Raw genomic sequence first — 24,313 nt, 5'->3', positions numbered from 1 at the left:
AAAAATACAAAAATTAGCCAGGTGTGGTGGTGAGCACCTGTAATCCTAGCTGCTCAGGAGGCTGAGGCAGGAGAATCGCTTGAATCCAGGAGGGGGAGGTTGCAGTGAGCCGAGATTGCGCCACTGCACAACAGAGCAAGTCTCCAATAATAAAAAAAAAAAATCGCCTAACCTTTTAATTCGCTCATCTGTTAAAAAAAAAAAAAAAAAAGGTTAGGGTGGGCTGGGCACAGTGGCTCACGCCTGTTTTCCCAGCACTTTGGGAGGCCAAGGTGGGTGGATCACCTGTCAGGAGTTCGAGACCAGCCTGGCCAATATGGAAAAACCCTGCCTCTACTAAAAATACAAAATTAGCTGGGTGTGGCGGTGCAGGCCTGTGGTCCCAGGTACTCCGGAGGCTGAGGCAGGAGAATTGCTTGAACCCGGGAAGCGGAGGTTGCAGTGAGCCAAGATCGCACCACTGCACTCCAGCCTGGGCGAAGAGTGAGACTCTGTCTCAAAACCAACCAACCAACCAACCAACCAACCAACCAACCAAAAACCAAAAAGAACCAACACCCCCCGCCCACTGAAATGGCAGTGCTTTTAGCAACCCCCAGTAGGGGGCAGCACTGCTTGAACTCAAAATCGCCACCAGAGTAGACCCAGGTTTCGGTCGAGCACTCATCAGTACTACTCCAAATGAGGGTAACCTAACGGCAACCAACTCCAAGTATCAGCTCCCCTCAAGGAGGCTGAGGCAGCAGCTAGGGCTATTTCCTTTTCTTGATTTCAATTCCCCCTCCAAGTCCACCCTTCCACTTCCTGTTAGAGTCTTAGCGTCTTTCCTGCCAAGCTCCTTATCCTTAGCTTGCAGTTTGCCCCAGGTTCCACTTTTTCCAGACATGGAGATTCTTACCTGCCTGGCCTCGGCAGTAAGGGCCATTTAAGCAGGGGAAAATACCAAAATACCAACTACCTTGGGGAAAGCCTGGGAAACCCCAAGCACCGAATAAGGGTTGGCTTCTGTGGGACTTTGCTGGGGCAACAGCCTGTCACTTCTGATCCCCTTGAGTGTATAAAGGGAACTAAGATTCATTGACATTATAATTACAGGCATCATAATGCTTATGATGTAACAGACATTTATTCTCTTTTCCTTTTACAAATCCTCAGGTAGGTGGCATTATGTCCAATTTAAATGAGGCTACCAGGGCTCAGATTAAGAAATTTGCTGTCACATAGCTATTAGATGGCGGCACCTGGATTCAAACTGTTCCTCTACAGCCCATATCCAAGGACGCCTACACTTACCAGGTGTGAACCCTTGGGGCACTGGCTTCCTGAGACTAGGAAGAAACAACTAGATCCCTTTTTTCCAGCCCACACCCTCAGTGTGCTTGACCCTCATCCTGAGACATTCCTCCTGCGGTCCTAAGGCCTCGACTGGTCACGATGGGCTGCTTCATCTGTGACGAGGGTCTTTGAGGCTAGATCCATACTAACGCCAAGTGTGTCCTTGTTAAGAGAAGAGTCAATCTGGATACGGGTTTACACCAGTATGGATTTTTCTTTTTTCTGGGACAGGGTCTCACTCTGTTGCCCAGGCTGGAGTGGAGTGGCACGACACAGCTCATTGCAGCCTTGACCTTCAGGGCTCAAGCAATCCTCCTGCCTCAGCCTCTTGAGTAGCTGGGACCACAGGCATGCACCACCACATCCAGCCGATTTTTATTTTTTGTAGAGGCAGGGTCTTGCCATGTTGTCCAGGCTGCACTACACATTTATTTATTTTTGAGACAGAGTTTCGCTCTTGTTGTCCAGGCTGGAGTGCAATGGCGTATCTTGGCTCACTGCAACCTCCGCCTCCTGGGTTCAAGTGATTCTCCTGCCTCCGCCTCCCGAGTAGCTGGGATTACAGGCACCCGCCACCATGCCCAGCTAATTTTTTTTTAGTAGAGATGGGGTTTCACCATGTTGGCCAGGCTGGTCTCAAACTCCTGACCTCAGGTGATCCACCCGCATTGGCCTCCCAAAGTGCTGGGATTACAGGCGTGAGCCACCGTGCCCAGCCAGATTTATTTTTATAGAGATGGAGAAGGAGTCTCACCGTTACCCAGGCTGGTCTCAAACTCCCGGGATCAAGCAATCCTCCTTCCTCATCCTCACAAAGTGCTACGATTACAGGTGTGAGCCACTGTGCTCAGCCTGCACTATGGATTTTTAATGTTGACAGTGTCTTGGAACTAGTTACTTCCTTAGGATTTACTGCTGTAGAAAATATTTATGCCTTTTCATTTTTCTCCTAACTCCATATCTTCTAAGCAACCTTGGTTCTGTCACCTACAGTACTTACCAGAAATCGGATTCCTACTACTGGCAAAAGAGTACAGTGAGCTCCAACATTAGTTATGTTCTACTAAGGAAGAAAGCAAAAACTCAGCTGGACATAGTGGCAGGTGCCTGTAGTTCCAGCTACTCCGGAGGTCAGGAGCTTGAGTACAGCCTCGGCAACACAGTGAGACCCTGTCTCTAAAAACTAAAATTAAAACAAAAAAAGAGCAAAAACTGCTTCTAGTCAAAATTACACTTGAAAACCCCTTAAATAACTCATGGGGTAGAGAATGCATATGTTGCTGTCAATATATCCAATTAATCTAGGTTTTCCAAGTACCAGAAGTAAGTGGTCAGGGGCACCCTGAGCAGCCAATTAGAAATCAGAGTACCTTGAGCTCTCTAGCAGCCCATTTTAGTGAAATAAAATCAAGTCTGATGACTGAACGACCTGTGGTTTTCAAAATTCTCCACTGTGACTCACAGTCAAGAGACATTTCTACAATCCAGTCATGATGTGCATATGTAACTAAAATACGTTTCCACATCAACACTTACCCTTAACAGATGTAATGCACTCTGATACTATTCAATTGCTTAAAAATGCTGGCGTCACACAAAGCTACACGTATGATAAAAATGCACAGATGTACATCTCATACAGTGCACGTAAATCCGGCCAAATCTGAAGGTGTGTGGACTATACTAATGATTTTTTCTTGGCTGTGATGTTATACAACAATTATACAAGATGTTAGCATGGTGGGGGAACCAAGTGGAAGGTATACAGGATCTCTCTGTATTGTTTCTTACAACCGTATTTAAATCTACAGTTATCTCAAAATCAAAAGTTTAGAAAACAAAAATGCTTGTTGTGATATAGTCACACCACAATTAATGGGTCCCAAGCCAGTATGAAACACTGCCATAGATGGAAGGCAGAAACCATTAGAATGACCATCAGACCGTTGCAGGTGCCCCTAAAATTCTCCTCTTAATTCCTTACACCAAGCAAACTTTCTGAAGCAATTTCATTTCAGGGACCAGAGTCCTGCTGGGGGACAGCTGCTCTACTAGGCTCTGTACTGTTTTTGACAACTGCTCTCCCTGAGAGCAGTCTTTTGGGCTGCCATGTGAGAAAGACAAACTGTGGCCAATTAGTCTGCATCAGACCCACACCTGAATACTCATCAATGTCCTGCAGGACCACACACTAAGGAACACATTTTGGGAAATTCCACACATTATTCACAATAAAAAGATAAACCAGAAAACCCTTTAATTTCTCTGTCATTGACCAGGGAGCTTCAGGAGCAGCCACAGAGTCTCAGGGACCAAGCTTTATAAGGAAGCATGTAAGTTTGTATTAATAGCTCGCTGGGTTCCATAGCTCATGCCTATAATCCCAGCACTTTGAGAGGCTGAAGCAAGCAAACTGCCTGAGTCCAGGAGTTTGAGACCAGCCTGGGCAAGATGGCGAAACCTCATCTCTACTAAAAATAAAAAAAATTAGCCAGGCATAGTGGTATGCGCCTGTAATCCCAGCTATTTGGGAGGCTGAGGTGGGATGATCACCCGAGCCCAGGAGGTAATGACCCTGTCTCTCAGGGGGAAAAAAAAAAAGTTTAAATATAGCTCACTGGCCAGCCATTCTCTCCTCTAGGGAAGGTGAGGATCTAAACCTGATGGGCTCCTGAAACTAGGGCTTCCCAGCTTAGGTTTGCAGGTTCAAGGGTAGTATAGGTCTATCCTTCTTCCTTCCTTCTCTTCTCACTTTGGACTCGCAGTCCAGAAACCCAGCAAATTCTCATGTAAGATAGAAAGATTTTCTTTATTAATGACCCCAACCGTATTTCTTTAGATACAGGAGTTTTGAACTCAAATACTTAGGAGAAAACAAGTTATGACTGCATTATCCTGCAACTCATTACCAGTAATATATTGCAAAGCGAAACAGCTTGGAAAAGAGGGTGGGAGAAAAGGGAAGTGAGGGAGGGAAGATAAAGAAAAGGAATTAAGTTGATCAAGTGGAATTCTTTTTTTTTTTTTTTTAATTCTTGGGAACTATGAAGTCTTTGCAAGCACAGCTCGTTTCTGCAGATTATTTTCCAAACGTGTACAAAATGGAACCAAAACGGAGAATCCCTTAAGAACCTGAAGAGGCGCAACATTAAAAGCTACGATTATCCAGTAGCAAGTGTTCCAGCCTTCAGTTGCCAGCCGCTTCCTCCTCTTATTCCCAAGATTAGCGGGATGAAAACGTCTTCCCCCTTCAAAAGGAGAGATAAGTGCGAAGGTCAGTTTCTGGCTGCCCTTTCCTCCCACCCCACACTCCTAGACTAGATGGGATCCCAAAGAAACACCAAATGAGAGGTGGAAAGGGCTAGATTCCTTAAGCAGAGGCACTGGAACCACAGGACATCGGCTAAAATCTGGCTTTCACAGAATGGTTTCACGAGCTCTTCCTTCCTATTGGATACTTTGGATGCCCGGGAATATCAGTGTTAAGCCCACAAGGACATTCAACGTACCAAGTTAGATAGAAGAATCACTTGTTCACAATTTCTGGATGGCCTAGACGTACCTGAATTTCCGACTAGGCTCAAACCGTCTTCTTAGTACTACCTCATTTGTCAGCTCCTCCTACACAGTGTATACCTCTCAGGGCTCCCAGATAGCAGTTCCTTTATCTCTCACCATGAAGGCAGGTGGCTGGTTCAGAGCAATCCTCAGAACTTCCAAGGCTAAAGGTATTTCTGCTATCACGTGGTGACTCCTCCTCTGGCTTATACAACACCTGCCTGGTTCGAGGCTCCTGAATTGTGGTGTCCTGTTCCACCCAGTATTTCTCCAGATGGGCTAGGTGGTTCTCAAGGACAGAGCCTCTAACTGGTACCTAACAGTATCTGGGAAAGCAGCCTGGAAGCTAGAGCTGAGAACTATGGGAAATCAGGGCAAAAACATGGGCTCTAGATTTTCCCTGTCTTGGATGTATCGCTTATTCCAAAATGAAGCTACACCTTATTATCCTTCTCTCCAAATGAAAAGCTCCTGAGTGTTCAATTCTGGGCGGCCCATCGAGGGTTCCTGGCTTCTGCCCACAGCTGAGTCACTTAACTCCTACCCACCATTAGTAACATAATCTGGTTTTCAGGGTGGATGCAGCTGTTTGTCTCCTGCTTCTCCTTTCTGGGGCCCAACTCTGCCAAAGAGAAGCTGCAGCACAGAAGAAGGCAAAGTTGCTCTTTCTAAGTCCCAGAGAGGAGGCTTATGAACAGTCTGTTCATTTTAAGGATTCATCCCTTCCTGGGTCTCTCACCAGGACAGGGAGCTATCCCTGCCCGCTACACAACTGCACTCACTGGGCAGGGACTCCCACGACTGCCTGCTGGCTGTGGAATCGGGCAGCAGCTGCCTAACAGGCCTTCCTCCTGGATGCACAAGCAGCTACCAGTGCCAAAGGTGATGCTGGCAGCCCTGAGACTATTATGATGCCCAGCCTTCCAGTCCGGTTATCACAGGCTGCCAGGTCAGGCTTCCCTCTCACTGTACCTGGCTGCCAGTTTACCTCTTGGCCTCTACTGAACTGCCTGTCTACTGGGCCCTGAAAGCAGCATGAAATTCACTGCCTCACACTCCAGGTCACCAAACAAGTACCCGGTGAGAAAAGTACTCCTGTGTAGAGCAAGCAGGGAAAGGGGAAAATGTAGACACCAGGATGGAGACTAGGTTCTGGAGAGGCAGCAAGCACATCCTCTCACCTGCCCACCCACCTTGTTGGTCACTTTGCCCATTTAAAGATCTGCCCAAGAAGCTGCAGAAAAGAAACGATGCTGCCATTTCATTGCATGGCATTTGGACACTCCTCTCTGAGCTGCTACAGAGACAGGCCTTTGCCTAAAGAAGTCGAGGTGACTTAAAAAGTGCTTTTTTTTTTGAGATGGAGTTTCGCTCTTGTTGCTCAGGCTGGAGTGCAATGGTGCGATCTTAGCTCACCGCAACCTCTGCCTCCCGGGTTCAACTGATTCTCCTGCCTCAGCCTCCAGAGTAGCTGGGATTACAGGCATGCACTACCATGCCTAGCTAATTCTGTATTTTTAGTAGAGATGGGGTTTCTCCATGTTGGTCAGGCTGGAGGTCTCCAACTCCTGACCTCAGGTGATCCGCCTGCCTCGGCCTCCCAAAGTGCTGGGATTACAAGCGTGAGCCACCGCACCTGGCCTTAAACTGCTTTTTGACAATGTCTGAAAACCCTCACCTACTGCTCAAGTCCTTGATCTCTTTCTCATCCTTTCAAATGACAGCAGAAACTAACTTGGTAGAAGAGCCCTCAAATGCAAGAGAGAGAGTGTAAAGCCCTAGGCGTACCACACCCACTAAAACTTTGCCTCAAGAGTACTGAGTGCTGGGCCAGGTGTGGTGGCTCATGTCTGTTATCCCAACACTTTGGGAGGCTGAGGTGGGAGGATCACTTGAGTCCAGGAGTTCGAGACCAGCCTGGACAACATGGTGAAATCCCGTCTCTACAAAAATACAAAAATTAGCCAGCTGTGATGGTGCATGCCTGTGGTCCCAGCTACTTGGGGGGCTGAGATGGGAGGATTGCTTGAGCCCAGGAGGTTGAGCCTGGCTGGGGATCACAGAGTACTGGGCTGGGCGCGGTGGCTCACTCCTTAATCCCAACACTTTGGGAAGCTGAGGTAGGTGGATCACGAGGTCAGCAGTTCAAGACCAGCCTGGCCAATATGGTGAAACCCTGTCTCTATTAAAAATACAAATAAATTAGTGGGGCTTAGTGGCGCACGCCTGTAGTCCCAGCTACTTGGGAGGCTGAGGCAAGAGAATTGCTTGAACCCAGGAGGCAGAGGTCGTAGTGAACTAAGATTGTGCCTCTGCACTCCAGCCTGTGCTTCAAGAGCGAAACTCTGTATCAAAAAACAAAAAACAAAAACAAAACAACAAAACAAAACAACAACAGTACTGGGGTGCTGGCAAATAACACTGGCTGTGAGGGAGGCTTATGACCTCAAGACTTTTAGTTCAACTGGTACAAAAGACAGCAGATGGGAGGCCGAGGTGGGTGGACTGCCTGAGCTCACGAGTTCTAGACCAGCCTGGGCAACATGGTGAAACCCCATCTCTACTAAAATACAAAAAATTAGCCGGGCGTGGTGGTGTGCACCTGCAGTCCCAGCTAGTTGGGAGGCAGAGGCTGCAGTGAGCTGAGATCGCGCCACTGCACTCCAGCCTGGGCGACAGAGTGAGACTCTGTCTCCCCCAACACCCCCACCAAAAAACAAACAAACAAACAAAAACCAGCAAATGAACACTATTACCTTATCTTAAGGACAGGACTGCCTGAATTTCATCAGAAGAACCAAGGTCTGGCACCTTTCACAAAGATGGAACTCTCTAGGCTCTAGGCCATGCTCGCCTTTCCTGCATGCAGAGCCACACCCCTATTTAGGGCTCTCCTCAAATTTTTTTTTTTTTTTTTGAGACTAAGTCTTACTCTGTCGCTCAGGCTGGAGTGCAGTGGCACAATCTTGGCTCACTGCGACCTCTGCCTCCTGGGCTCAAGCAATTCTCTGCCTCAGCCTCCCGAGTAGCCGGGACTACAGGCACCTGCCACCACGACCGGCTAATTTTTTTTGTATTTTTAGTAAAGATGGGGTTTCACCGTCTTGGCCAGGCTGGTCCTGAACTCCTGACCCTGTGATCCACCCATCTCAGCCTCCCAAAGTGCTGGGATTACAGGCGTGAGCCACAGCGCCCGTCACGGCTCTCCTCAATTCTATCCCTGATAAAGAGAACCTTCCTCTGCATGCAAACTTCCTGCTGAGAGTGGACCAGGAAAAAGAACACTTAGTGGGGTGGTTTCAGGCCTATTTACCCAATTAAAGGTCCCTAAGCAACTTACTCCATCTCTCCAGAAAGACCACCAAAAGCACAAGACTGACCTCATAACTCAGGCCCAAAAAGAACAGTCTCTTGGTAAACTTTGTTTATTTCCTAGCTGCCATTCTCATAGCTCACAAAGATACGGAAACAAGGAAACCCATCCTGGCCTATATGGCAGTGAGAACATGGAATCCCACCTTTGGTTTATCTACTTAGCCCTGCTGACCTCATATGTAGCCAGTGCCCAGATACATGGAGGACCAGGCCACCAGCGCCCACTGCTTCCTTCTCGGTGACTCAGGAGAGGAAGGTGGTCGCTGGGGTGCTGCCTAACTTACGTGATTGTTTTCATTTCTTTTTTCTCGGCATCTGGGCGTGCGCGGTTCAGCACCTTGAGGAAGTCAGACGTTTTCGCCCGCATACGTGTGTGAATATAGGCCTGGGAACAAACATAACAGGTACTAAAGCACAGTCATGGTCTAGAAAGACAGCTTTGCTGTCTTTCATCAGAGAGGTCATCAAGGGCGGTTGGGAACATACACCCTGGGATTGACCCAGGCCCTGCAGGGAAGCAGGAAGGTGAGCAATTCTGGAAACAAATATTCATCTCTGCTATAGGGAGGGATGGGGGACAGTGGCTTGATGAAGAAAGACCATGGTTTCTTGAAGCCTCTAGAATTATTTACCTAAGAGTCAATATCCACAGCGTAGACTAATGGAATGACTTTCTGTCAGGAGTTCTGGTGGAGGAAAAGACCCAGAGCATAGAGGCTGAGATGCTGGCACCCCCCTCACCTTAGAGCACTTGATGTGGTAGTGCAGGTAGTCCCGGAACGTGTGGATCAGGTTGATGGTGTTGTCTCGAGCACTGGCATTGGTGTGACGAGGGAACAGCACTGAAGGCGGAAGACACAAACAAGGCGTCAGGACACGACACAAATGCCAAAGGGTGGGGAAGAACAACAGCCTAGTGAACATCACTCCCTCTCTGCTTAAGTACACTCCACTTGTGTCAGTATTACCAGGCTTTGTCAGGGTTTTTTCTTGACATGGAAGTTAAACAGCATGGCCAGGAAAGGTGTCAACGAGCGTGAATGGAGGAGCCCACGATGAAAAACAGGGCTTGACCCTAGGCCTTCATTCTACTCCTGAATTCTGCAGCTGTGCATTTTGAAATCTATTTCCGGTCTGCCACACAGGTACTAGCTCTTGCCTCTGCAGCTGGACACACTCCAGGATCACACTAACTGGCTGTAACAGTTTACTTTAAGGAATCAGGATTAGGAAATGCAGCTGCCTGTCTTAGGTCCTTGGTGCTGAAATAGAGTAAACCTTCCCAGAAAACAGATGCCAGAGAATTTCCCATATTCTCACTGTGAAAACAGACAATAAGGTGTAAGGACCTGAACCCTCATGATAGGCCAGGCAGGAGGAGCTGCTCTGAATGGGCCTGACTGAAGTCCACCCTGTGACACCAGCCACCTAAAGACCTGTGTGAGGCTGGGCGCGATGGCTCACGCCTGTAATCCCAGCACTTTGGGAGGCTGACGCAGGCTGATCATCTGAGATCAGGAGTTTTGAGACCAGCCTGGCCAACATGGTGAAACCCCATCTCTACTAAAAATATAAAAATTAGCCACATGTGATGGCGTGTGCCTGTAATCTCAGCTACTTAGGAGGCTGAGGCAGGAGAATCGCTTAAACCCGGGGGGTGGAGGTTGCAGTGAGCCAAGACGGTGCCACTGCACTCCAGCCTGAGTGACAGAGCAAGACTCCATCTCAAAAAAAGACCTGTGTGCTCATCACAAAGTCCTTTGCACTACAGCAGGCCTGCATGCCCCTCTTGCCCTGGTTTTCTGGAATCGTTTTTACCTGCTGCACCTCCTCTACTCACTATCTGCAAAACCCCGTCAGTTGTCTGAAGTTTTCGTTGAAATGAAAAGGAATGCCTCCTAAGGAAGTGTGGAATTTCTGTGTCAATGTGCCCTGGCCTGAAAGTAAATGAACACCACAACAGAAGACAACTATACTTCAAAGAATCTAAGGTGCTTATGACTGTAAGTCTGCCATAATTTTATGTACCACAAGAGAAACATGCTGCCAATTAAAGTGTGACATGCTATGAATTGTAAGATGCATCCCAGCTTCAAAGACAAAAACTTGAAAAAAATGGTATAGCTGGCTGGGCGCAGTGGCACACGCCTGTAATCCCAGCACTTTGGGAGGCTGAAGTGAGTGGATTGCTTGAGGCCAGGAGTTGAGATCAGCCTGGCCAACATGGAAACCCTGTTTCTTTTTTTTTTTTTTAATTTTTTTTGAGACGGAGTCTTGTTCTGTCGCCCAGGCTGGAGTGCAGTCGCGTGATCTTGGCCTATTGCAAGCTCCGCCTCCCAGGTTCACGCCATTCTCCTGCCTCAGCCTTCAGGGTAGCTGGGACTACAGGCACCCACCACCACGCCCAGCTAAGTTTTTGTATTTTTTGTAGAGATGGGGTTTCACTGTGTTAGCCAGGATGGTCTCGATCTCCTGACATCGTGATCCACTTGCCTCGGCCTCCCAAAGTGCTGGGATTACAGGCGTGAGCCACCGTGCCCAGCTGGAAACCCTGTTTCTACTGAAAATACAAAAATTAGCCGGGTGTGGTGGCACACGCCTGTGGTCCCAGCTACCTGGGAAGCTGAGGCACGAGAATTGTTTGAGCCTGGGAAGCAGAGGTTGCAGTGAGCCGAGATCACACCACTGCACTCCAGCCTGGGTGACAGAGAGAAAGAAAAAAGAAAAAAGTGTATAGTTTAGATTTAATGAAATTTGGTAAATCAACAGATTCATCACCAATAAACAGGTTCACCTTTACCACTGAGGTGAATTAAATTACATTTCACAAAGGAGACATTCCAGTGGCATTGGGTGCAGTGTGAACAAGCTTATTAATTCCAAACTGTAAGCTATCATAATCAGCCAGTGCATGAGGCTGGAGCAACTGAAGGAAGACCTGAATTTATTCCGCGAAAAAGTGGAGTAAGTGGATCACGGCTGGAGCTTGGGCTTAATAAGCAAAAAACCAAGAATTGCCAAATGACAGAGAACCCCCATCTAGCTGCTTAGGTGGTTCTCTTCTTAACTCCTTTTTTTGGTGAGATAGGGTCTCACTCTGCCACCCAGGCTGGAGTGTAGTGGTGCCATCACAGCTCACTGCAGCCTCTACCTCCTGGGTTCAAGTGATCCTCTCACCTCAGCCTCTCAAGTAGCTATGACTACAGTCATGCACCACCATGCCTAGTTATCTTTTTTTTTGAGACAGTCTCCCAGGCTGGAGCGCAGCAGGATGATCTCGGCTTGCTGCAACCTCCACTTTCTGGGTTTAAGCAATTGCCATGCCTCGCTTGCCCGAGTAGCTGGGACTATAGACTATAGGCACATGTCACCATGTCCAACTAATTTTTGTATTTTTAGTAGAGGTGTGGTTTCACCATGTTGGCCAGGTTGGTCTCGAACTTCTGACCTCAAGTGATCTGCTCGCCTTGGCCTCTTAAAGTGCTGGGATTACAGGTGTGAGCCACTGTGCCTGGCCCCTTGCTTTTTGTAGAGATGAGCCTGCACCATGTTATCCAGGCTGGTCCCAAACTCCTGGACCCAAGTGACCCACCAACCTCGGACTCCCAAAGTGCTGGGATTACAGGTATGAGCCACTGTGCCCCGCCTATCCTTTACTCTTTTCTTTTTTCTTTTTGAGACAAGGTCTCACTCTGTCATCCAGGCTGGAGTGCAATGGTGTGATCTCAGCTCACTGCAACCTCCGCCTCCTGGGTCCAAGGGATTCTTGTGCCTCAGCCTCCCGAGTAGCTGGGATTACAGGCGCACACCACCACGCCCAGCTAATTTCTTTGTTATTTTTTTGGTAGAGACGGAGTGTTTCACCATGTTGGTCAGGCTGGTCTCGAACTCCTGACCTCAGGTGATCTGCCCATGTTGGCCTCCCACAGTGCTAGGATTACAGGCGTGAGACACCGCACCCAGCCTCAACTCTTTTTTTTTTTTTTTGGAGACAAGAGTCTTGTTCTGTTGCCCAGGCTGGAGTCCAGTGGCACGATCTCAGCTCATTACAACCTCCACCTCCCGGGTTCAAGCAATTCTCCTGCCTCAGCCTCTGGAGTACCTGGGACTACAGACGTGCGCCACCATGCCCAGCTAATTTTTTTTTGTATTTTAGTAGAGACAGAGTTTCACCACATTGGCCAGGATGATCTTGATCTCCTGACCTCGTGATCCACCTGCCTTAACCTCCCAAAGTGCTGTGATTACAGCCATGAACCACCGTGCCCAGCCAAAACTGTACTTGTCTCCTTCAAGCTGGAATCGAACCAGCAACCTAAGGACGTCTCCTACTGAGGAAGTAGCTATAGTCCTCTGCTCTACCAGCTGAACTATTGAAGGGACCTTAACTCTTGATATCAGAATTCAGTCTTATTTTTAAGATTTAAGAAAAATGGGGAAAAAAAGGAAAGGATTACTGTACAAAAATAGCATATGGCCTGCTCTGTAATTAATACCCTGTGACATCCCTCCTTTAGTCACTGCAATGGCAACAGGAACAAGTTGGTATGCCTGCGTTTGCCTACCTTAAAATGTTAACCAAGGTTCTGTGCAGATTTAGGTATTCTGCTGTGTGAACTCATTAAAGCGGCACAAAAGCAGCAAGTGCACCCTGCTCACCAAAGGTAATGTAGCCAATGTTGTCACCCACAGCGGCGTCTGTGTCTTTCAGCTCCAGAGGAGGTTCCCTGTGGCTAAAGAGGACCTGTGGGGCTGTGTGGCTGGCTCTGCGTCCTTCTTTGAACTCCTGCCAAGACAAAGCAAAAGCAACCAGAAGAGAAGTGGGTGTAAGATGAGTGGCAACTCAAGCTATAGGGTTTGTTCTATGTGGTGTGACCTTTGTAGCCCTCCAGACCAGCAGGAGGTTAAAAATAAACTACACCAAACCTGAAATATGACAAGTGCTAGCTGCTACCACTACACTTCAGATTCAAACGGGAGAGACTGCAAAGTACTTAATAAGTCAGATCTTCAAAATGTGATGAAAAGTAGTGATAATCCTTTTCCTTTGCACTAACATAGGTGATAAACTACCATACTTTCTCTGGGCTCTGGGACTTTGCATGAGTCTTTTTTCACTGAGGATCCTGTTGCTATTTAGAATTCATCAATAAAATCTTTAGAGCAAACTTAAGCTCTTCTTGCGGACAGAAGACAATGGAATGAAAGAAGCTGAGTTGTCTTGGTGCTCATAAAGGAAGCCCTTCCTTCTATGTTCCAATCTCCAAACCTGAAGCTTCTACAGTCCATACATTCCTATGTAAATAGACAAGTAATACAAGGCTTCTCTCTCTCAGCCAGATCTGCAAGAACAGAAGTAGATTTTCTAGCAATGCCAGTAAAACTGGATAATCCAAATTCATCAAGTGGGCCTTCCAAGATGATAGACAGCAGGAGGATGCTGCCAAGGACTCTCCAAGGTCTCTTGTTTTAGGAGTTCTGAAGGCATGGTTACACAGCCATGTGGCCTGCGTGCCCTTCTACTGCTGCTCAAATACTGCCTCCTAATACCATCTCCAACAAACCCAGGCAGGTACTGCTCTCTTGCTGGAGCTGCCATGTCTTTTCTACAAACCTCTACTATGATATTTTACCATTCATTAATGTATCTGGCTCCCCTACCAGGTTATGAGTTCAAATCAAAGATCCTGCTTAATTTATCTTTGTAATTTATTCTTCTGTCTTTCAAAGAGGCTATGCAGCACATGCCTTGCTGAGAGAAAGCAAGTGCTTCTACCCTAGCTGGTTTAGTATCATCACACTGTACAGGAATAGGCAAGGGCTGTTTCCAGTTGCAGGCAGGAAGAATAAACACTGATTAGCAAGCCCTCTCGACAATTAGTGGCAAAAGAAAGATGATGGCTGAGGAGCCCCAATGCCCAGCCTGGGACCTCACCTATTTCACAAACTGCCTCTCATGCTAACACTACCAAGCTTTAAGTAGGAAAAGAAATGACCATCAACTGGGTTAGATTAGTCCCCTTTTGAACAGATTTTGTTCCCCGAAGGAAAAATATCCAAAAAGGAAGGGAAGGAGTCAAGATTATCCCAAATGGAAATTTCTAGAGCAAAGCTTCTAAAATCGCCCTTCTCTAGAAAACATTTTTTATTCTACAAAGGGGTTAAGAAGCTTTTTAACTTTTACTGGTTTTACTTTTCGGTATTAAGGAATTAAACAGAACAGATACGTAACTGTTGGCATTTTCTTGTGTCTGTTAAGTGTCTCCAAGGCTCTAATTCACAGGTACATGTGGTATTCACAATGAGATGGGGTATTTATAAACCAGTGGTGACTTATTAGCACTCATTAGTTTTGTATATGGAAAATAACATATTTAAGGCTCGGTCAACGATACGTTTCTGGCTTGGGCCTATTCTTTCTTTCTTTTTTGAGACAGGGTCTCACTCTGTCACCCAGGCTGGAGTGCAGTGGCGTGATCTTGGCTCACTGCAACCTCCACCTCCTAGGTTCAAGTGATTTTCATGTGTCAGCCTCACGAGTAGCTGAGATTACAGGCGTGTGCCATCATTCCCGGCTAATTTTTGGCCTTTAAAGTAGAAACAGGGTTTCACCATGTTGGCCAGGCTGGTCTCAAACTGGCCTCTAGTGATCCACCTGCCTAGGCCCCGCAAAGTGCTGGGATTACAGGCGTGAGCCACTGTGCCTGACTGGGACTATTCTTTAGATTCTCTGATGTCTTTGCTTCTCCTCAGTTCTCTCTCCTAAATAAAGCTTAAACAAACAAACACACCCAAACAGCCCTCCATCTTCATTGGCATCTTTGTTATACGTAATCAAGCAATATTGCCTTTTTACTCTCCTTCTGGCTAGGATGTCTTTTGAGCATCAGATTATTTCTCTCTTCCAAAGTACTATTTATCATAGGAAGTTCGGAATAAATCCAAATATATACAAGGCATTTAGCATATGATAAAAGTAGCATCTTAAATCAGGGGTGTAAAAAAGGAAATAATTGCCACTGGGACCACTGGATAGCCATTTAGGAAAAAAAGATCATTCTTTCATACCATACAACAAGAGGAGCTCTCAACAAATAAGAAAAAATCATGTATAAAATATGTAACTGTAAAAATACTCAGAAAATAACAGGTAAATTTCTTTATAACCTTCGAGTAGGGAAGGGCTTTCTACCTATAACTCAAAATCTAGAAGCCATAAAAGGCAAGACTGATTAATTTGATTATGTAAAAACAAACTTCCACATGGTGGAAAAAACCCCACAAAACACGGTCCAATGACAAACTGGAGAAAATATTTCAACTCTTAATCACAGATGAAAGGCTACTCTCCCTAGTATGTAAAGAAATTGAGAAGCTCAATGACCCTACAGAATAATGGGTAAAGGACATAAAGAGACACTTCATAAGAAAATCAAATGGTCTATAACATTAAGAAAAGATGTTCTGACCTCAGAACATCTTTTTATGTCATCATAAGCAGACACAGATACCACCTTTAACCTATCAGATCAGGAGAAATCCACAAGTTTACAACATACTCTGGGAAAACAGGCACTCCTCTCCATCACTGGTAGATGATAAAATGCCACTACCCTGATGGAGAAGAGTTTGGCAATGTCTACCAAAATTACTGACTTGGACTCAGTGTTCCCAGTTCAGGAAAATATCCTACAGACATACCCACACATGCAAACAGGCAGAAAGGGCCCTCAAAATACATCTTTACAACTGCCTAAGAGGCAGGTGCTTGTGTCTTTGTCCCTGAACATATAAAAACCAGTGGTTTCCACTTAACTTTTCCTGGTTATTTAGTTACTAACTTGACTTTAAAATCTTAGAATATGAAAAGAATTCTAGTTCACCATAAGCTAATCTCCAAAAGCATAATTACTGGTCCTATTGCTTTTCATGGAATAAGCATTGAAATGATGGCTTCTATCAGACATTCTCCAGTACTCAGCTGATATGCCCATACCACTAGTGTGGAGGAATACACTTCCTGTCTTTTTCTGAGAGGTAGAAAGCATCCCTCAGAGCCTGCTTGCCAAATGACAAAAGCAAGACTTGAATTCTGATCAGGCTGGATGTGCATGCTGGAAGGGAAAGGCCACAAAGGCTGGCAACAAGTAGACTAGTGACCATGAGGAACTTCAAATAGTGTTCTCAGGGTACAACTTTCTGTGCCAGGTGTCCCTCATTCTTTTTCCGAGAAATTTACAATTCCAGGCCTAGGAAAAAGTTCTATTTATTTTTTGGGAAAATCCAGCAAAAGTCCAGTTTCCGATTGTCATTTCCAACAAATTACCTAAGCCTCTGAATTTGGAAAGGGTGGCAGGGCAGATGACTTCCTGAGTCTAGCTAGCACTGCACCAGGCCAGTTACTATCCAGAGATCCTGTTAGTGCCAAAATGCAAAAGAGGCTTTGTCTTTCCTTTTAGGTAAGTGCCCTACCACAGGTACCCTGAAGGAGGCATTTAAATCATATGCCAAAAAAGAATACACAAAATTCTCCTAAGGAACAAATCTCCGGTACACTCTCCAAGATAAGATCTGTTTAAAGTATAAAAATAAGTTGTTTCCTGGAATAAAATGGAATAAGATTGGTAAAAAACCAGCCAAATCTAAATATATACTTCAGAGCTTTTAAAATTAGTTTTGTTACTCTGGATTTAGCCCAATTTCTGAGCTACTGCATTTAATTCCCCTGTCAATTCTGCATAAAAACACATGAAATGCCTCTCTAGAGGCTTACTTTTAGGACCCAAGAGATACATGTATATTTATATATTCCTTCATCAAGTTCAGCACTAGCAAATGCTGAAGTGTCAATATTCCAATTTTTCTGTATAGTGACTCCCAAACTAGTTTCTGATTAATTAGCCAAAATACAAAAGCCACTAGGGATGGAGCAGTTGAGAATATCACTTTTGAAGATTTTCCTAGCCACTTAGAAGGCTATGCAAAGTATCTTTACTGTTAAGCACAGCTGTCTTTCAACTCTATTTGGCAAAAGAGATTCTGCTTCAGAATTTAAAAATCTTTACCACCCTGCCAAGGAACAGAATGAAGGTAGTAACGTTTTCAAAAAATTTTACCATTGTACTAGATTTTGAATGCTGAGCCATCTCAGAAGAAACCAGCCTGAATGTCACTTGACCAATGAACTCTCATGTCCATCCTAGAGGCAGCAACTAACTGGCCAGCAGACTGGTACACAATGACCTGAATGCAACTACACCAAAAATCCAATTACAAAATGCCCTGCTAACTCTCAGGACTCTCTTTTTTTTTGAGTCGGAGTTTCGCTCTTTTTGCCCAGGCTGGAGTGCAATGGTGCAATCTTGGCTCACTGCAACCTCTGCCTCCCAGGTTCAAGAGATTCTCCTGCCTCAGCCTCCCAAGTGGCTGGGATTACAGGTGCCTGCCACCACACCCGGCTAATTTTTTGTATTTTTTTAGTAGAGACGGGGTTTCACCATGTTGGCCAGGATGGTCTTGACCTCTTGACCTCGTGATCCGCCCACCTCGGCCTCCCACAGTGCTGGGATTACAGGCGTCAGCCACCGCGCCTGGCCTCTCATGACTCTTCTTAAGATGAGCTTCTTGTGAGGGAAGTACTCTATGGTGACCCATCCAAACTCAGGCTCAGTCTGTCAGTTCAACAACTCTACCTGTTCATGCGTTATCTACTACCAAATAATTGGCTATACAGTCCATTCTGAAAAGACCTTAGGACCAAACCAAGAGCAGCCACCTTACTAGAAATCTGAGGAAACACAAGAGGTTAGGGTTAGGAAACCTGACAAAGTTTTAGGTCAAAGACCCCACAGTAGGAAGGATGCATAACATTCATTCATAGTTAGTATGTTTAATTCTCAACTTACCCTTTAGTTCTGTCCTGCAAAACTAAACCACTGAGAAAAAAAATATCAGGCTGGGCGCGGTGGCTCATGCCTGCAATCCCAGCACTTTGGGAGGCTGAGGCGGGCGGATCATGAGGTCAGGAGATTGAGACCATCCTGGCCAACACGGTGAAACCCCATCTCTACTAAAAGTACAAAAATTAGCTGGGCGTGGTGGCGCGTGCCTGTAATCCCAGCTACTTGGGAGGCTGAGGCAGGAAAATTGCTTGAACCCAGGAAGCGGAGGTTGCAGTGAGCTGAGTTCGTGCCACTACACTCCAGCCTGGCGACAGAGCAAGACTCCACCTCAAAACAACAGCAGCAGCAACAAAAAATATTCACTGAGTTTTGTGGGAGTTGTCTATTAAATCTTCAACAAATTCTAACGTCAAGGCTGGGCATGGTGGCTCATGCCTGTAATACCAGCACTTTGGGAGGCCGAGATGGGCATCACCTGAGGTCGGCAGTTTGAGACCAGCCTGACCAACATGGAGAAACCCCGTCTCTACTAAAAATACAAAATTAGCTGGGTGTGGTGGTGCATGCCTACAATCCCAGCTACTCAGGAGGTTGAGGCAGGAGAATTGCTTGAACCTGGGAGGCGGAGGTTGCAGTGAGCCGAGATCACTCCATTGCACTCCAGCCTGGGCAACAAGAGAGAAACTCCGTCTCGAAAAAAAAAAAAAAAATTCTAACATCAGTAGAGTTGCTAGATCTCTTTCCTACGCTCATGGTATGTTTGGGTGCAAAGGTATAAGTCGCCATGCATGGGTTTCCCCCAAGATGTCTGCTCCATACCTGCATGAACACCTTTCCAATGACCACATCGTCGTCATCCTTAAACACTGTGCTGAAGACTACTGTGACTCTGTCCTTTTTAGACTCAACATACCTGAGAGGAACAAAATCCATGAGGATAAGTACAGAATCAGAATGGGGTTTTGTCAATAACTTGATCTACAAGTACATCAGAAGGCTAAAGTCATAAATCTCTTAAATCATAATATAAAGGTGTGCCAAATGAGATGATATTTATGGTCAACAAAGTCAGTGCACAAAATGAATGCCCTAAGAGAGGCAGCAGATGGAAATTATCAGAAGTAGATTTTATTGACTTGTAAATATAACATGGACCTATGGTCACCCTGCCTGCTGATTATCCAGGCTATACTCTTAAACATGACTCAGAACAGTGGTGCCTTAAAGGAAAGCACTGGATTCTCTTTCCACCATCTGTCAGCTCTCAGTATCTGGAGAGTAGGAGGAGTGGCTGATTTCTGCCCTATCATCTACTTCCTGGCTTAAGACATTTTATGAGAAAAACATTTTCACGCAATACAGCTGAAAGTTTGACCAAGCCATATTTCTTTCAGTAAGTGCCATGGTGGTGTAGCAGCCATATCCAGGCTTCAGGACCAAATTCTATACTCACATGGTCTCATCATCCCTATAATGGATAACTGCCCTGTTCTCTCCTTCCTTGCCCTCTTCTTGGAATTGGAAGTATTTTTCAAAGACAGAGGCAAAACAATTTCGCTTCAACATGCCAGCTTGATGCACAATGGAATCCTTGGATGCCGGAAGATTTTCAAGGTCATATAGCAAAGAGACATTGTATCCTGGAGGGAAAGAAAAAACAAGAAACAAAAAACAACCCAGCAGTTACATTTAAAAAAAAAAAAAAAAAAAAAAGCAGCATACTATCTATACCAAGTAAACAGAGACTAGAGGCAACTAAAAAAATCTTTTTTCAGGTTCTATTGACATTTTGTCTCATTATCTGTACTTTTAACCTGGGTAGAATATAGTCTATTTCCATCTATCTCACAGGGCAAAATGAGGTGAAATAAAATCTTAATTTTTATAAGATTCTTGTAAATATATATAATTAATGTTAATCAAAAATTTGAATCAGTATCAAAGATGACTAATTACAAATATGTAATGGGAGAAAGTCAGAACCTGGGAACTCTGATTGGAAATGTACCCTTCTAGACACAGTTGTAAAGGAGCCACATATATTTCTCTGATAGTTTAATGTGCCAAGTATCAGTATGGCCAGCAAATGGGTAGCTTTGTGATAATAAGATAAACCCTTCTACGTGCCACTGCAAACTCTTTATGAGGTGGCAGGGTAGAAAAACCAACTACCTGTTCATACATATACCTCCCCAATAGCTTTTATTGGTATATATTGTACAATTTTTAAAACATTTTACTTCATTTGATCTCCATAACCACCTTTGAAGTCTGCAGGCTAGATAAGGTTACTGTTTTGCAGAGGGAAAAGGAGATTCAAAGAAGTGACGTGACTTGCCAAATGCAGCATGACACATAAGTGTAGGGCACTCTATTTTGAGTCGAACAGAACTGGGTCCAAATCCTAGTCTTGTCATTTTGTGACCTTAAAAAAACTGCTGGGTGTGGTGGCTCACACCTGTAATCCCAGCATTTTGGGAGGCCAAGGTGGGCAGATCACCTGAGGTCAGGAGTTTTGAGAGCAGTCTGGCCAACATGGCAAAACCCTGTCTCTACTAAAATCACAAATATTAGCCAGGCATGGTGGCGGGCGCCTGTAATCCTAGCTACTTGGGAGGCTGAGGCAGGAGAATTGCTTGAACCCAGGAGGTGGAGGTTACAGCGAGCTGATATTGCACCACTGCACAACAGAGCGAGACTCCAGCTCCAAAAAAAAAAAACAAAAACAAAAAAAATTGCCTGACTTGTTAATTTCCTCATCTGTTAAAAAAAAAAAAAAATTGGTGGTGGGGGGCAGGTAGGGTGGTCTGGGCACAGTGGCTCAAGCCTGTATTCCCAGCACTTTGGGAGGCCAAGGTGGGTGGATCACCTGAGGTCAGGAGTTCGAGACCTGCCTGGCCAATATGGCAAAACCCCGTCTCTAATAAAAATACAAAATTAGCTGGGTGTGGTGGTACACGCCTGTGGTCCCAGGTACTCCGGAGGCTGAGGCAGGAGAATTGCTTGAACCCGGGAGGTGGAGGTTGTAATGAGCTGAGATCGCGCCACGGCACTCCAGCCTGAGCAACAAGAGTGAAATTCTGTCTCAAAAAAAAAGAAAAAAAGAAAAAGGAGCAGGGCAGGGGGTGCGGAGATAGGGGAGAATGTTGTGAGCATTAAAAGAATGTTCAATACTTAAAGTGTGTGGAACATGACAGGTCATCAATACGGGTGCAGAACATGGACTGAAACCATTGGATGACCTGCCTTTTTACAGCATGTCCACTATGAATTCCCAGAAGCCGGCTGGAACACTTGATTATAGAATCAAATGATTAATAAGTGTCAAACTGCCTAGAGATGTTTTTGCAAGAATATTTCTACATCACTGAGGATCATTTTATATTCTAGGCAACTGACGGGAATAACTTCACCAGAACTGTATGGCTTTCACACTTCTAAGTATCTGAAACCTCATTACTATTTCATTTTTTCCCAAAAGCATTCCTGAGATCTGTATTTTTTTTTTTTTGAGATGGAGTTTTACTCTTATTGCCCAGGCTGGAGTGCAATGGCATGATCTCGGCTCACCACAACATCCGCCTCCCAGGTTCAAGCGATTCTCCTGCCTCAGCCTCCTAGGCAGCTGGGATTACAGGCATGCGCCACCAGGCCTGGCTAATTTTGTACTTTTAGTAGAGACGGGGTTTCTCCATGTTGGTCATGCTGGTCTTGAACTCCTGAATGCAGGTGATCCGCCCGCCCTGGCCTCCGATAGTGCTGGGATTACAGGCATAAGCCACCGCGCCCGGCTGAGGTCTGTGTTTTTTGTTGAGCATGGGCTCTTCGGGAGGATGGGCTAAATCTTTGCTCTAGATAATGCTTAGCACATTTTATTTAATACTGGAGAGGCACTCCAGTATTAAATAATATCAATCATCATTCTATTTTGGGTACTTGAAAACCAAATAAGCACACAGATTACAAGGTTAGATTAAAAAAGAAAAGATTTAGAGCTGAGGTTTGCTAGTTTTAGGAAGCCAAATAAGAGCAAATAAAACTATAGCTAAGGTAAAGTCTGTCTTTAAGTAAGGCTTCTAACATGATGAACAGAATATACTGAGGATGAAGAGAAGTAAAAATCTAGTATAACTTGCTGAGTTTTCCAAACGTGCCTAGATAAACCCATTAAAAAAGAGGAGGAGAGACTCTACGGTCTTTTTTTTTTTTTTCTCGAGACTGAATCTTGCTCTGTCGCCTAGGCTAGAGGGCAGTGGCGCAATCTCAGCTCACTGCAACCTCTGCCTCCTGGGTTCAAGCGATTCTCGTGCTTCAGCCACCTGAGTACCTGGTATTACAGGTGGCTGCCACCATGCCTGGCTAATTTCTGTATTTTTTATAGAGACAGGTATCTCATTATGCTGCCCAGGCTGGTCCTGAACTTCTGAGCTCAAGCAATTCACTCACCTTGGCCTCCCCAAAGTGCTGGGATTACAGGTGTGAGCCACTGCACCTGGTTGAGACACTACTTTCACACACTTTTACATTTCACACTTCTATGAAGACAGGGTCTGCAATCTGGCAATGTCTATGATTTAGTGGGAGGTAGAAGGAGGCCCAGGGACAGAAACATAAACTTTCCATGTCAGGATGTTGGCTGTGACAAGCATGCCCAAGACTTTGGACATGATTTTTCTGTTCTAGATCTGTTTGTTTCTTTCTTTTAATACCTTGATTTTGCCAAAAGCCTACAGTGTTATCTTGGCTTTTATTTCTGTGACACATTCATCCCGCCAATTTGGAGATTAAAAAAAAAAAAGGTGCTGGGTATGGTGGCTCATGCCTGTGATCCCAACTCTCTGGGAGGCGGAGGCTGAGGTGGGTAGATTGCTCAAGGCTAGGAGTTTGAGACCTCCTTACTCTGTTTTGGCAGTATGGGCAGCAGACAGTGAGACTCTGTTTCTACAAAATATTAAAAAAATTAATTGGGTATGGTGGCATGTGCCTGTAGTTCCCAGCTACCGGAGAGGCTAAAGCGGGAGGATTGCTTGAGCCCAAGATTTGGAGGAGGCTGCAGTGAGCTATGACTGTACCACTGCATTCCAGCCTGGGCAACAGAATGAGACTGTCTGAAAAAATAGGTGAGGTGATGAAATAAGCTAGCACAAGTAACTGCTGTTAAGAGTGACAGAGAACTTCCTTCTTAGAAGACTTTTCTAATCAAGGTACCAAAGTTGTAATAGTTGAGTAAAAAATATTATGTTCCAATGGTCTTACTACCTGGTTCTCACTTTGGGGTCCTGCTAAATGCCTCAGAATTTGAGACATGCCACTGAATCACAGGGTAAAAAGGCTGTTCAGTTTTTCCACTTTAAACCTCCTTTTTAAAGCAGTATAACATAGCTGTTCTATTCAAGGATGACACGGTGCCTTTCAATTCCTCTGGCCATGAATGTTGAGACAACCTATTAGAAGACTGGATTAAGAAAGGGTCTGATTTTTATTACTTGAAATCACAAGAATAGTGTGGTGAATATTCCTCTTCTTTCTCCAAATATGTAGTATGCAGAATTACTAAGGGCCGAGGGTGGGAATCAATGTTTGCTCATTCTTTTCAAAGCCATTTTAATCACCATGAACAAACAAATGTGGCCCTCTGGCTGAAAGATTAAGTAAGAGTCATGTGGCCCCATCAAGTAAATGTTAAAAATGTCACACATCAATTTTGTACCTCTACTGTGTTCCATATTGGACAAAGCAAAGCCCCTTAAAAGCTATTTTTATGGACGGAGTTGAAATTAGGAATGGGCTCATGCAGAAATATTTGTAATAATATTTAAACGAAATCCTTTGGGTAAAAAAAGCATAATATAAAAAGGACACCTCTCTTCCCATGTCATTCCATAGTTGCTCACATGACTACATACCTGATTCTGGATTTACCAAGAAACTCCCGTACACCCTCTTTAATAACTAGAAAATAAAAACAAAACAAAACCAAATACGTTAATCCAAAGGCCATGATAATTTCATTATTTTTAAAGTACTGCACTTGCCAAGCTCTTCCTAAGTTGGCATTCTTCCTAACTTTCATTTGGTGGATGGGAAAGTAGAGACAGAGGGGAAGTGGATTTAGTCACCAAACAAGTCACAAAACTGAGATG

At 45.1% G+C, this 24,313-nt stretch overlaps 1 protein-coding gene and 1 non-coding gene across 5 annotated transcripts in view; both read right to left on the bottom strand.

Moving 5' to 3' along the window:
* Positions 1-4,125: 4,125 nt before the first annotated feature.
* Positions 4,126-24,313, bottom strand: part of ARPC2 (actin related protein 2/3 complex subunit 2) — a 37,160-nt gene continuing 16,972 nt past the window's right edge. For 3 of the 4 annotated variants that reach the window (NM_152862.3, XM_017003113.2, NM_005731.3), the window contains 7 exons: positions 24,077-24,122; positions 19,624-19,810; positions 18,990-19,083; positions 12,928-13,054; positions 9,010-9,110; positions 8,553-8,653; positions 4,126-4,583 (listed from right to left, as the gene is read on the bottom strand). In NM_152862.3, coding sequence (NP_690601.1) covers positions 4,559-4,583; positions 8,553-8,653; positions 9,010-9,110; positions 12,928-13,054; positions 18,990-19,083; positions 19,624-19,810; positions 24,077-24,122 — 681 coding nt within the window. In that variant the 3' untranslated portion in view covers positions 4,126-4,558. The remainder of the gene's footprint in view (positions 4,584-8,552; positions 8,654-9,009; positions 9,111-12,927; positions 13,055-18,989; positions 19,084-19,623; positions 19,811-24,076; positions 24,123-24,313) is intronic. The other variant, XM_047442808.1, reaches the window with a different exon arrangement.
* TRY-ATA1-1 (tRNA-Tyr (anticodon ATA) 1-1) lies at positions 12,556-12,648 on the bottom strand. Its single transcript has 2 exons — positions 12,612-12,648; positions 12,556-12,591 (listed from the first exon to the last, which is right to left on the bottom strand). It is a non-coding gene; the product is annotated as a tRNA-Tyr (tRNA).

The sequence above is a fragment of the Homo sapiens genome, chromosome 2 (genome assembly GCF_000001405.40).
Source record: "Homo sapiens chromosome 2, GRCh38.p14 Primary Assembly".
Classification (NCBI taxonomy): Eukaryota; Metazoa; Chordata; class Mammalia; order Primates; family Hominidae; genus Homo; species Homo sapiens.
The sequence above is the reverse complement of the archived record's forward strand: the minus strand, read 5'-3'. Positions and strand labels throughout refer to the sequence as shown.